The sequence below is a fragment of the Homo sapiens genome, chromosome 12, assembly GCF_000001405.40.
Source record: "Homo sapiens chromosome 12, GRCh38.p14 Primary Assembly".
Taxonomy (NCBI): Eukaryota; Metazoa; Chordata; class Mammalia; order Primates; family Hominidae; genus Homo; species Homo sapiens.
Genome location: NC_000012.12, coordinates 105,884,885 through 105,898,926, shown reverse-complemented (window position 1 = coordinate 105,898,926; position 14,042 = coordinate 105,884,885). Strand labels below are relative to the sequence as shown.

At 41.6% G+C, this 14,042-nt stretch overlaps 3 annotated features.

Annotated features, from left to right (window-relative positions):
- Positions 861 to 1,607: an enhancer, noted in NCBI's record as "OCT4-NANOG-H3K27ac hESC enhancer chr12:106291098-106291844 (GRCh37/hg19 assembly coordinates)". NCBI's record gives its function as "activates a minimal SCP1, AML or CMV promoter by ChIP-STARR-seq in naive and primed H9 embryonic stem cells {active_cell/tissue: H9 hESC(naive and primed)}" and the evidence as "EXISTENCE:reporter gene assay evidence [ECO:0000049][PMID:30033119]".
- Positions 1,608 to 2,354: an enhancer, noted in NCBI's record as "NANOG-H3K27ac hESC enhancer chr12:106290351-106291097 (GRCh37/hg19 assembly coordinates)". NCBI's record gives its function as "activates a minimal SCP1, AML or CMV promoter by ChIP-STARR-seq in primed H9 embryonic stem cells {active_cell/tissue: H9 hESC(primed)}" and the evidence as "EXISTENCE:reporter gene assay evidence [ECO:0000049][PMID:30033119]".
- Positions 2,355 to 3,101: an enhancer, noted in NCBI's record as "H3K27ac hESC enhancer chr12:106289604-106290350 (GRCh37/hg19 assembly coordinates)". NCBI's record gives its function as "activates a minimal SCP1, AML or CMV promoter by ChIP-STARR-seq in primed H9 embryonic stem cells {active_cell/tissue: H9 hESC(primed)}" and the evidence as "EXISTENCE:reporter gene assay evidence [ECO:0000049][PMID:30033119]".

Genomic DNA, 14,042 nt, shown 5'->3' with positions numbered 1-14,042 from the left:
TGTTACACTGTTTTTAACTTTTGGTGGAACTTGGGGAAAGGCATTAAGAAAAATTATTAATAAAGAAAAGAGAGTAAGAGGCCTTAGTGTCCCTCCCTTTCTTGCCCAATCCAACAATCACGTATCCCCAGAATTTCCAACAGAGCCCAGTATAGAGAATGCATGCAATATAGACAATGCATACAATATATACCTTCCAGACTGTGCATGAATGAATGAAGTTCAAAGATACCACATATTCTATTTTGGTACATTGGATGGGACAGACAGGGCCATGCATTAGTTTCCAAAGGGTCAGAAGTGTTAGATATAAGTTCTAAATTTCTTTTCAAAGATTCAATATGTCACTATGTTCAATTCTTTGCCTTCTACTTTTAAACTTAACTTCCTCATAAAGCAAACGTTTTGGATTACCTGCTGCACCCTGACTCATTCTAATTACCTGCTACCTGCTCTGCCCTGACTCATTCTCCACCCTGCATAACCATTTTTCCCACCAAACCACTCGCCCTGTCACTGTCTTTAAATTAACCAATCAGAATTAGTTTAGCCTGTGCGGTCTAACTCTAGCCAATAGGGGAACGACACAGCAGCAGGGGCCACGTGCATCAGGGATAAGAACCCCTTCCCCTCCCTTGTCCAACTGTGCGCTCACCATTGCTCCATCTGTAAGCACGCACCCTTCTATAGAAGTAACTTGCCTTGCTGAGAATTAAAAAGAAAATTTTATATTCGAGTGCTATTTCTTTTGCAGCACCGAAACTTTATTTATAACAGAAGGTAGAAATTAGAAGACTTAATAGAGTTTCAACTGAGGAAGTTCCATGGGGTGAATCCAAGTTAAAGTCTTCGAGAGAGATTCTAGAATCATGAGCCCAGACGTCAGCTACAAAGTCAAGACTTAAGGGATAGGCATCCTACTGGTTAAGAGTGTGAACTTCTAATCCAAACCTGGTTTGGATTCTGGCTTTTTGATTGGTACATATGTGATCATCACTCTTTTTCTAATCATGAAGAGACAAGTACAAAGGTAGAGAATCAGAAGAAAGTAAGAGTGGAGCTGGAGCAAGTCAGGAACAGAAGAGGAGATCAAGAATAATTGCCTGTTTGAGATTAACAGGGGAAGGAGAGGTTGAAACCACCTTTGCAAAAGTTGTACCAGCAAACGAAGCTAACCCAACCCCCATCTTGCCTTTCCCTTAATTGTTCCTGAGCTATTGGACCAAGCTAACTTTGGGAGACATTTAGGCTACAGTTTAAATGACAATAGGCCTTGCCCTAACTCATTTGCTTTTGTAAAGCTAATAGGAGGCCATCAGGTTGAGGGGAGGAGAAGACCCTGAGTCCTGCTAAGGTGCAGACATTATTCCAGAGGTTATAAAATATGCACTTCCACAATGACTCCTGCAAATGACACCACTATTGTAGATTGGCCTTTGAGATATCTTTCCAGGTTTTTTGCATGTCTGACACTCATGGCTCCACCTGGACTGACAATCAGGCTCCTGTGGCCCCACCCAGAAGTGAATCAGACTGCAGGAGGACCGCTTCAACCCCCTATGATTTCATCTCTGCCCCAACCAATCAGCAAGCACTTGTTACTTGGCCACCCCCACCCCTTTCCCCAAACTGCCCTTGAAAAACCCCTAACCTGTGAGCTTTGAAGGAGATGATTTGTGTAGGAACTCCATCTCCCATGTGGCATGGCCAGCCTCTTGTCTATTAAGCTATTTCTCTGCTACGATGCCATGAAGTTTATGCAGTGGGTAGGAAGAGCCCCTCGGGCGGTCACAAGGTGAGGGTGCTGTGCTGCTAAGAGATGCAGAAGTGCATGAAGTAATCGTTGAGCTGGTGCTGTCTTAGGACAGGTCTCCAAAAGCAGGCCTTGAGATGAAAATCTGTGCACAGTAATTTATTAAGGGTGTGCTCTCAGGAGAAACAGTAGAGGAGAAAGGAAAGGACATCAGGGAAGGGGAAGAAGTTGAACAAGTCTGCAATTTCAGGCAAAGTTCCAGGCTCAACCTGGTCCTACAGGGAACTCTGGAGTGTGAATTATATCTCAAGAGTTTGTTCACCTCGAGGCAAGGGAGCTGAGCTTCCCTGCCCCTACACCAGTCAGCCATTGGCAATCGGCTGCTCTGGGAAAATTTAAACTACTGGAACTTCTAGTTCTCCGCATACGTGAGTAAATTGGCCCAGTGGCCCAAGAGTATTTCCCTAAAGAAGATCGTAGATAAAAGCAGTTAGAAGTAAAGCACACAGATGCTGGGTGATAGATGTACACAGCCAATACAATACAGATCTGAACAGGTCTGGGTGTGGTACTACCAGTGTTTGCTCCAGGTGTTCAGGGCCAAATTGAGTTGCTCCTTAATAAATCTAATTAATAGCCTTATAGGCAGTTGTGGAGCTGTTGAGAACAAAAGAATTGCATGTACCAGGGCTGATATGGAAGGCAGGATTGAGATGTAAATCATGGCTTTGGAGGTGGTGAGACTTGGCTCTTGAGTTCCTTAAGCTATTCCTCCTTTGCTGCAACTTCAGGCTCTCATAGCTATGCACTTGTGGACTTCTGGCTCTTTCTTATGAATCTAGGACAACTGCCTGCCTGGGCCCCAGGCATGGGCACACCATGCTGGCTGAAAGGCCCTGGGCCCACAAAAGTAGACGGTCAGTTCGATGTTAGGAAACAATTTCCACTGGCCCTGTGAGAATGATGAGAATAACAATAACAACTAAAATTTATTGGAACACTTCCTACATATCAGGTAGCATGCTACGGGCTCAATTTGTATGAACTCTTTCCTTCATCATGAGTCTGCAAGGCAGTTCTTATTACCCTCATCCTGTTATAGATTAGAAGTCAAACCTGGGAGAGGCAGCTTACCTTTCCCCAGGTTATATTGCTTGCGAATGACGGAGTCAGACTCAAATTTAGATCTGATTCCAAAGTTCTTTGTCTTAATCCTTAAGAGTTCAACACCTTCCAGTTGTCACTAAGCATTTATGGAGACCTTCTTAATATTCTCATGGTGCTTACAGGGGCTGTGATCCAGTAGGGGGAAGGGGACAAACAAACTCCAATTACTTGAGAGCCAACATGTTTGTATAATAAATGAGGGCTCAGGCATGTATCAGCAGACCCGTATAACGGTGTTGGATGCCTAGAAGCTCTTTTAGTTTTTGCCTGGTACGGTTTGGCTTTGTGTTCCCACCCAAATCTCATCTTGTAGCTCCCATAATTCCCACATGTTGTGGGAGGGGCCTGGTGGGAGATGATTGCATCATGGGGGTGGGTCATTCCCGTGCTGTTCTTGTGGTAATGAATGGGTCTCACGAGATCTGATGGTTTTTAAAATGGAATTTTCTCTGCACAAGCTCTCTCTTTGCCCGCTGGCATCCACGTAAGATGTGACTTGCTCCTCCTTGCCTTCCCCCATGATTGTGAGGCCTCCCCAGCCATGTGGAACTGGAAGTCCAATAAACCTCTTTCTTTTGTAAATTGCCCAGTCTTGGGTATGTCTTTATCAGCAGTGTGAAAACGGACTAATACAGTATCTTATCAGCAACGTGCAGCAGCAAAATCTAAACAAGCCAAATGCCTCAGCAGTCATGTGATGGGGGGTGGGCAATGGGGGCGAGAGAGGGCAGGGAGTAGATGAGGACTGGGCTCAGCCACTTGGGCTGGAAGGGAATTTGGGAACTAGCTCCTTTTTCTCTTCTTGTACTGGCTTCTGTGGGTAGGGTTCGGGGGTGGGTAGAGAACAAAGAGCATCTGGCCTGGGGTAGAAGGAACGCTGGGGTTGTTGAACGGGTAGTGTAGCCTCCCAGGGTCCCTGACTTGGCTCCTTGCCTTGCAGCCAGTTCCCTACCTCGGCTTTAGTTGACATGGCTGTAGACTAAACTGAGAGAGTGCCTGGACTGGTCTAGAAGTCACTGAGATGTCATGGGAAGAGCACTGGGTTTAAAATCTGGTGCCTTGGGGTGGCATGCTGACTTGTCACTTGCCAGCTGAGTGTCCTTGGGCAAGTCACTTAACTTTTCTGGTCCTCAGTGTTCCCATCTGTAATCATAATAAGGTGGCTAACATTTATGCAGTACTTACTAAGGCTCAGGCAATTGGTCCAAGAGCTTCCCATACTATATTTAACTCAATCCTCGTAACAACCTTATAAAGTATGTACTATTGGCTGGGTGCAGTGGCTCACGCCTGTAACCCCAGCACTTTGGGAGGCCAAGGTGGGCGGATCACTTGAGGTCAGGAGTTGGAGACCAGCCTGGCTGCCGTAGTGAAACCCATCTCTACTAAAAATACAAAATTAGCCACGCATGGTGGCATGCACCTGTAGTCTCAGCTACTCGGGAGGCTCAGGTGGGAGAATCGCTTTAACCCTGGAGACAGAGGTTGCAGTGAGCCAAGATGGCACCACTGCACTCCAGCCTGGGTGACAGAGTGAGACTCCATCTCAAAAAAACAAATACAGAAAAAAAAGTAGGTACTATTAATATCTCCATTTTATAGGTGAAGATATTGAGGCCCAGGGAGGTTAGATAGATGGGGACCACTTGTTCTGAGTTGCCTGAGATTGTCCCCACTTACACCTGTCATCCCTGCCTCTCATCTGGCTTAACATTTTTCTATCACCTTTCATGATCAAAAATGCCCTGGTTTGGTTATTACATTATGTGTAGTAATTATAGTGTATGCTATATTTAGGTTAAATATTTTGTCAAAATTCCAGAAATGTTAAGTGGTAGAATAGATCTTTAAGCCTGAGAAGTCAGATTCCAGGGACCATGTTCTTAATCATCAAACTGTGTAATATCCAGACACACCTGCTTCAAAAGGATTGTCTCCTTTCCTGCCTTTCTTGCTTCCTTGCTTCCATCCTGCCTGCCTTGCTACCTCCCTTTTTCCTTCCCTCTCTCCCTCCACTCTTTTTCTTATTTCCTTCCTCCTTCCCTCCTTCTCTCCCTCCCTGTCTTTTTGCCCCCCCCCCTTTTTCCTCCCTCCCTTTCTTCCACATTTCTTAGGTGCTGACTACAGTGCCAGGCATTAGGGATATAGGATGACCTGTGCCCTTAGCAAGTTCATAGACTGGTGGGAAGGCAGACACACAAATCAGTATTTGCAATATAATATGAAGGTGCAATAGAACAGACAAAACAGGCAGACACTACAGGAGCATAAGACAGGGAACCCTAATTGTGGGTGAAGTGGTTTTAGGAAAGTTGAAGAACAGAGTGACTTTTAAGCTGCATCTTAAGGATGTGTGTTGTCTAGAAGCTTGCCAAGAATGTTAAGGGAGAGGTGAGGGCAGAGACTAGGGTCGAAAATAAAAATAAAATATGAACATTTTGGGTAACTTTTAGGAATTAAATTCATAATAATAGTAGCCAGATTCATGAGAAATCACTCATACTTTCTAGGTAAGAATAGCTTACATAATTAGTAGCGCTATAGGCCAAGCCAGGGACATTCCAAGTGGATGGAACTGTTTGCTCCTTTATAGAGGTAGTGTATCAAGGAAGGATGCCTTCAGCTACAAGCAACAGAACACATAACTAAAAATGGTTTCAAAGTAAGGCATTGTTTTTCTTATATAGTACAAAGTGTGAGGGTAGGCAAATGGTTGTACTATTCAATTTTCCACCAAGGACCAAGATTCTCTCCATCTTTCTGCTCTGTCAACCTTAAATAGGTTGGCTCTTTGTTCTTGTGTTTGTTATCTAATGATCCCAATGTGGCCTTTGGAGAAGACAAGCCTGCACTTCAGCTTGGTTCAGCTACTTATCTCTGGAACTTTGGACAAGTCACTTACCCTCTCAGTTTCCTCATCATTAAAATAAATGAGAAACAGCCTGACAGGGCTGCTGGGGAGAAGACTGAGTTCCTGTATATAGAGCACAAACTAGGCAAGCCAAAAAAAAAAAAAAAGATTTGTTTTCCTCTTTCATCTATATTTTTGTTGTTGTTGTTTTGCATATGTGCTTTGCTTTAAGGGGAGGGCAGGGACTAGGATAAAAAAAGAAAAAAAATGCACATTTTGGGTTACTTTTAGGAATTAAATTTATAATCATAGTAGCCAGATTCATAAGAAACCACCCCTACTTTCTAGGTAAGTATAGCTTATATAATTAGTAGCACTATAGGCCAAGCTGTCCACAAGTGCTGACCCATCGCAAAGCCTGCCATGTGGTCAAAGCTCAGAAACTAGGGCAGGCAGAAAACACCACAGATGGGCAAGGGGAGTCTGGGCTTCTCTGGGCTTTTACCTTGTATAATTGACAAAGGCAGCTTCAGCACTCTGGAGATTGATATCCAAGATTTTTTTCCAAAGCCAGAATTTGAGATAAGCCACAATTAATATTTGAGAGATTAACTGTTCCATTAGGGAAGGGTGGCCATTAATTAAGCCTCAAAGGCAGTTGGAATGAATTATGTTCCAGCAAGAAGGATGGATGCGTCCTGCTCTTAAAGGAGATGGGAATCGGATTCCAATGAGCTCTCTGTAGCTTTATTGGATGGGTCCTATGTGCCTCGATTTAGAAGAGATTTATTTTTTAAAAATAGCTTTTTGGCCAGGCACGGCGGCTCATGCCTGAAATCCCAGCACTTTGGGAGACAGTGGCAGGTAGATCACTTGAGGTCAGGAGTTTGAAACCAGCCTGGCCAACATGGTGAAAGCCCTGTTTCTACTAAAAATACAAAAATTAGCCAGGTGTAGTGGCACACACCTGAAATCCCAGCTACTTGAGAGGCTGAGGCAGGAGAATTGCTTGAACCTGGGAGGCAGAGGTTGCAGTGAGACAAGATCACCCCACTGCACTCCAGCCTGGGCTACAGAGCGAGACTCTTTTTTTTTTTTTCTTTTTTTTAAGTGTTTTATTTGCAAAATCTATAAAAGCAGAATGATTCATTATTGGTTCAGCTAGGATGATGATTCCTGAGCCAATGAATGAATTGGCTTTGCATTTCGAAAAATCAGATACAAAAGAACCACTATTTTGCATGTGTTTCATTTTGGATAGTTTTACCTGGTTGGTTGCTGGGCATTTGATGTCCTTTCCACATAGGTGATTTGCACATAATATCTTCTTTTTAATGGGAAACTAGAAAGAATTTATTTAAAACCAAGGAAAACCTGGGGCCCTAGTGAAGAAGACACTGGAGCCAGACCAGTCTCTACAGCTGGCAATGCTAAGACCATAATAAAAATGTGGTCTTCATTAAAAATATTTCAATCAGTCCTAAAGATTCTTCAAGAGGAGGCCGAGATTCCGCAGGCTGATCTAGCTTCTTCTAGGGCATATCCTATCTATCAGGGGTTGGCAAAGTGTTCCGTAAAGAGCCAGGAAGAAAATATTTTCGTTGTGCAGGTCACATGATCTCTGTAGCAACTACTCACCTCTACTGTAGTAGCTCAAAAGCAGCCATACACAATAGCAAATGAATGTGTGGTTGAGTTCCAATAAAACTTTAATCTCTAGCTGGGTGTGGTGGCTCACGCCTATAATCCCAGCACTTTGGGAGGCCGAGGCAGGTGGATCATGAGGTTAGAAGTTCAAGAACATCCTGGCCAATGTGGTGAAACCCCATCTCTATTAAAATTACAAAAATTAGCCAGGCATGGTGGCGCATGCCGGTAGTCCCAGCTACTCGGGAGGCTGAGGCAGGAGAATCACATGAACCTGGGAGGCAGAGGTTGCAGTGAGCCTCAAGATTGCACCACTGCACTCCAGCCTGGGCGACACAGTGAAGCTCCATTTAGGAAAAAAAGAAAAAGAAAAACTTTAATCTCCAACAACAGGTGATGGGCTGATTTGACCCATGGCCGTAGTTTGCCAGTCCCTCCTACAGAGGGTAGAATGGAAAGAAGATGATAAACCAATGACATTTCTTTAAACATCTCTACATTTTTATTGGGTTAGAAACAATGACTTCAATAACAAGTTATTACAACAATGAACTTTTTAAAATTACTTTTTTTATAAAGAAGAAATACTTTTATTATTTTTATTTATGAATTATTTTAGAGATGGGATTTCACTATGTTGCCCAGGCTTGTCTCTAACTCCTGGCCTCAAGTGATCCTCCTGCCTCAGCCTCCCAAGTAGCTGGGGTTATAGGGGCGAGCCACCATGCTTGATTCTATTTTTATTATTGACAAATAGGAGAACACAAAATAGAAATAAGAAAATATGTATAACTTACTGTGGTAGACAATTTGGGTCAGCTAACCTCATACCCGTTCACCTCCACTTCCTTTCTGGTCTCTATTACAGTGGTTGAAAAGCTAACACACACACTTGCCCAATTCTTTACTGCTAATGATTGGATAACCATGTGACTCAAAAAATGTCCAATGGAATGAAAAAGGGAGTTCGCATGGGTGTGTCAGGGGTGTTGGGAGGCCTCCAGGATAGTTTTTCCTGTTAAAAGGAGAAAGCCATTTCAGGAAATTTCTCTCGGCCTCTCTCTTCTTACTTGGAATATGGATGTGAGGCCTGGAGCTATAGCAGCTGAATTGTCACCTTGAGGTGGGAAGCCAACAGGCTACATCTGGCTGAGAGGAAGGAAGGATCTGGATCTACGGTGACACCACTAAACTGAGGCACATTGCCCTAGACTGCCTGCCACCCTGGAATTCTTGTTACATGAAATAAAGACAAAGCTCTGTTTGTTTAAGCTACTGATAGTTGGCTGTTTGTGAAATGCAGCCGAAAGCATCACTAACAGATAGTTCATGGAATTATTAAAAGCTTGCAAAATAGCTCATGTTGGAAAATCCTGGTCTAAAGTGTCCTTCACGTGCAATGTCCAGATCTAAACTTCGTATTCAGTGTGTGGGTAGGAGTTCTTTGCTTTTGCATACTATAAAGTAGATGTCTGTTTAATGTTGTGCTTTTAGCCCAATATAAAGCTTCCTTTGCATTTGCGAATGTTCTAGTTTTAAATCTGCAAATGAGATGGGACCTTAAAATTTATAATACACCTTGGGAGTAGATACTTATGAAAATTATATCACTTTTCCACACCATTTACATTAATATAGTGTAAGTTGCTTCTCCTATTAAATGAATGGCATCCAAAGTGAAGTAAAAAATCAATATCATGATAAACTACTTGCTCCTCAAGGAACTGTTTATCTGGAAAACTCAGATACCTAAAACACAATCTAGAAGTAGATGTTCAGCATAAAAAGACTGCAAAGTGTTAATAAATGCCAAAAGATCTATTCCCTAAATTGCTAATAATGCAATCAAAGGAAAGGATCATGGGCTCGCACTCAGAGCTTTTGTGTTTGTGTTTGTGTGTGTGTGACGGAGTTTCGCTTTTGTCGCCCAGGCTAGAGTGCAATGGCTTGATCTTGGCTCACTGCAACCTCCGCCTCCCGAGTTCAAGTGATTCTCCTGCCTCAGCCTCCTGAGTAGCTGGAATTACAGGTGCCCGTCCCCACACCCAGTTAATTTTTGTATTTTTAGTAGAGATGGGGTTTCACCATGTTGGCCGGGCTGGTCTCCAATTGACCTCAGGTGATCTGCCTGTCTCAGCCTCACAAAGTGCTGGGATTACAGGCGTGAGCCCCCGCACCTGGCCTCAGAGCTTTTTTGCTCTTATTTTCACACATAGTCTTTTAGGGTAGTGGCTACTCTACCTTGAGTAATAAACTGTGGCAAAAATTGAGAAGATGACATGCAAAAAACTAAGGTTTAGGAAACATTGTTAGAAAGGATATTATTTCCCTTTAAAAAGTGGGAAGTTGAAGTTCAGAGAAGCTATTGCTACCCAGCAGAAATTGCACCAGAGCCAAGCTTTCACCTTGAGCATCGTGGTTTGGGCAGTGAGAAGGTGGCCCACTGTTTCCAGACATAAGAACATTTCAGCCTTTCTGTACAGATGACTCAGGTCAAGTCGTGTCATTGAGGCATTGAAGCAGACTTCAGAAATTGCTCTCCTCCCCCCAGCAAAGGCAGCTTAGACACCAGATTGCTATTTCTTGCCTTCTATGTTCATTTCCAGAGCCATTCCACACTCCCTAAAACAACCCCTTTCAAAAGCAATGATGATAAGGCTCATTTGGAATCTGTAATTGTGGCTTTCCAGAACTGCATTTGAGGCACGGTATCTAAGAACAAAGACCAGTTGCTTGGATGCCGAATTGCAATCCAAAAGAGGGTCAGGGGTCAGAGAGGCCTTCTGAGGCCAACTTCTGGTTGCATGCATGCCGTTGCTTGATGATTTGAGTTATCTTGAATATTTCTATGTGTAAAAAGAAACTACTAAAGGCAAATGGTCATCTAAAAATATGAAATTCTGAAGCACATGTCCATAGTAAAGTTTGACCTAGTTTGAGAATAAAATAATTTTGGAGTTTTATTTTATTTTGGAAAAGTTCATTTTGGAGTTTTGGATTATCAATCCTCCATACTAGACAAATAGAAATAGGTATTTCCTGATAGTTTAGGACAGGAGTTGGCAAACTACAACTCACGAGTCAAATTTGGTTCACCATTTTTTTTTTAAACATGAAATGTGAGTAGAACACAATCACACCCATTTGTTTACGTGTTTTCCATGGCTGTTTTTGGGCTGCAATGGCAGAGTTGCATAGACAAGCAGAGACTACATGGCCTGCAAAGCCTGAAATATTTACTCTCTGGCCCTTTGCAGAAAGAGTTTGCCTACTCTTGGTTTGGAAGAACTAGAATTAAAACCTCTTGTAAACTCTCATAAAAAGGGCAAAGTGGAGTACAGTTGTTAGAAGGTGCTCAATGAACACTTGCCGAAAGATTGAATGAGAAAGAAATAAAGCCAAAAACTTAAGTTTTTACTTCCAGATGCACTGTGATACTAGTACCTTTTGGGCAAGGGCCACGTGTAAGAGAAGGTCATCTACCATTTATGAGAACTTACCTTAGACCATCTGATTTATGATTTTGTTTAGGCCCCACAGCAACCTAACACGTAGGTATTATCATTGCATGGGCTTGGCGATGACGAATTTTCTCCTGTTCAGAGGCTTTTGCGTTTCATCTCAGGACTCCAGCTCTGTTCCTGATGGCTGAGGTACTGACCATCTGATTGCTTGATAAATAATACAGTTTTTAAAACATCATATAAAAATATTTTTGATTTACACAAAAGTTGCAAAACTAGTTCAGAGTTTCTACATACTCTTCATCTAACTTCTTCTAATGTTAATATCTTATATCCGTACTTTAATGATCAAAACCAAAAAATTAACACTGCAACAAAACTATTAACTAAAATACAGATCAAATTTAAATTTGACGAGTTTTTCCAGAATGCTCTGTTCCTCTTTTAGGATCAGCTTCAGAAACCACATAGCATTTAGTTGTCATCTCTCCTTAATCTCCTCTGGCCTGTGACAGGTCCTCAATTTTTTCTTGTCCGTCATGACCTTCCACTTTTGAACACAACAGGTCAGTTAGTTTTTAGACTGTCTCTCAATCTGGGTTGCCTAATGCTTTCTCACAATTAGTTTGAAGTTACTCCTTTTGGTGAGAATACCACAGAGGGAATGTGCTTTTCTCCCTGCATCACATCAGGGGGTCCATGACGTTAATCTGTCTCATTACTGGGGATGCTTACCTTGATCACCTGGTTAAGGTAATGTCTTCCAGGCTGCCTCACAAACAGCAACACTGAAAGATATGCAAACACCTAGACACAATTAGATGCTTTACCTACTGAAACGGCTCTAAACAACTACTTACATCAAATTCAAATTTATCTTAGTTTATTCCTAATTCTAAGTCTCCAGATTAGGTTTTCCCACAAAAAATCTTTGCCAGCTGTTGCCATTTCTTCTTTGAACTTAAACCTAGAAAAGAAGATCTGACTATATTCTTCTCTTGCCACCCCTCCTTTTCTCTTACCTCATGATCCAAGAAAAAGAAGAGTAAAAATATTTCCTTTGCAGTCTCCTGGTGTCTGTAAATATCCTTTTTTTCTGTTCAGTGGAAGAAATGTCTCTCCTCCTAGTAAGGTCAATCCCTCACCTGCGTGTTGAATCCTAGCCCCTCCCACCTCATCAGGTTTAAGTAATGATGGTGGATCCTCAGGATGGAAAATGCTGCAGCTGATAAATATTCATTCGTGGAAGACTATTGACATGGGAAAGTGTTCATAATATATTCCCATGTAGTTGCTACCATTTCCAAGGCTTTCCATTCCTTTGTGTACATAGATATTTCCATCTGGTATCATTTCCCTGCCATCTGAAAAGGACTTCCTCTAACATTTCTTATAGTGTAGCTCTGTCGGTGATAAATTCTTTCATCTTTTGTGCATCTTCAAAAGTGTTGATTTTGCCTTTTTAAAAGGAAGCCTTATTGAGTTATTATTTACATATTATACACTTCACTCATTTAGCGTGTAAAATTCAATGGTTTTTAATGTATTTACAGAGTTGTGCAGCTACCACCACAATCTAACTTTAGAACATATTTTTATCATCCCAGTGAGTCTGTACCCATTAGCAGTCACTCTCAACTCCTCTCTCCCTTGTGACTTTTCAAGCCCTAGGCAACCATTAAATTTATTTTTTGTTTTAATAGATTTGCCTATTTTGGACATTTCATATAAATGGAATGATTTTCTTTCTTTCTTGTAAAATAATATGAGAAAAACATTTGATTTTTTAAAAGTGAAAGAAATTGTCATTAAAAATGAAATGAAATGATACAATATACGGTCTTTGGCAACTTTCACTTAATATTTTCAAGGTTCATCCATGTTGCAGCATGTGTCACTACTTTATTACTTCTTATTGCCAAATACTATTCCATTTTACTTATCTTTATTAACAACAACAAAAAAAACTTATGGTGGGAAAAGAATTCCAGGTTGATCCTTTTCTCCCAAAGCTTTGAATATGTTGCTCTGCTGTCCTCTCACTTGCATTGTGTCTGAAAATAAATCTGCTGTCATCCTTTTCTTTGTTCCTCTATTTACAACATGTCTTTTTCTCTGGTTATTTTTAATATTTTATCTTTTTAACCTTTTTTAGCAATTTGATTATGATGTGCCTTGATGTATTTTTTTCACATTCCTTGTGTTCAGAGTACATTAAACTTCTTGGATCTGTGGATTTATAATTTTCATCAAATGTGGAACGCTTTTGGCTTTTATTTCTTCAAATATTATTTCCTGTCCCCAACCAATTTTATATACACACATGTATGTATGTATATGTATATATATGCATTTAAAGTTGTCCCACAGATCACTGATGCTCTTTTATTTAATTTTTTATCTGTGTGTTTCATTTTGGATAGTTTTACCTGGTTGGTTGCTGGGTACTTTTGTATTCCTATAAATATTCTTGAGCTTTGTTCTGGGACAGGGTTAAGTTACTTGTAAATAGTCTGGTCCCTTTAGATCTTACTTTTAAGACTTATTATGTGGGACCGGGGAAACATTTATTCTAGAGTGAACTGTTCTCCAGTCCTGAGGCAAGACCCTTCTAAAAACAACTCTACCCAATGCCCTGTATTTTATGAAATTTTCCAGTCTAGACTCTTAGGAATAGACACTATGTCCTGCCTTGTGTCAGTGCTTTGTTCTCTCTAATCCTTGGTGTGGTTCCTTTTTTGGCCTCAGGTAGTGTTCTTACATGCCCACCCTGACCAGTATACTGATGGATGCTTAAGGAGAGCTGTCTGCAGATCCCTAGAGTTCTCTTTCTGTGTAACTCTCTCTTCTCCAATAACCTATCCTGGGAGCTCTAGCATCCATGGTATCCCAGGATTCTCAGCTCTGTCTCTTCAGCTGAGAAAATCTGCTGGGCTCTGGCTGGGCTCCCCATCTCTGCACATGGCTGGACATGTGTATTAGTCCATTTTTGTGTTGCTGATAAAGTCATACCCAAGACTGGGAAGGAAAAGAGGTTTAACGGACTTACAGTTCCACATGGCTAAGAAGACCTCACAATCATGGTGGGAGGCAAGGAGGAGCAAGTCACATCTTACATGGATGGTGGCAGGCAAAAAGAGAGCTTGTGTAAGGAAACTCC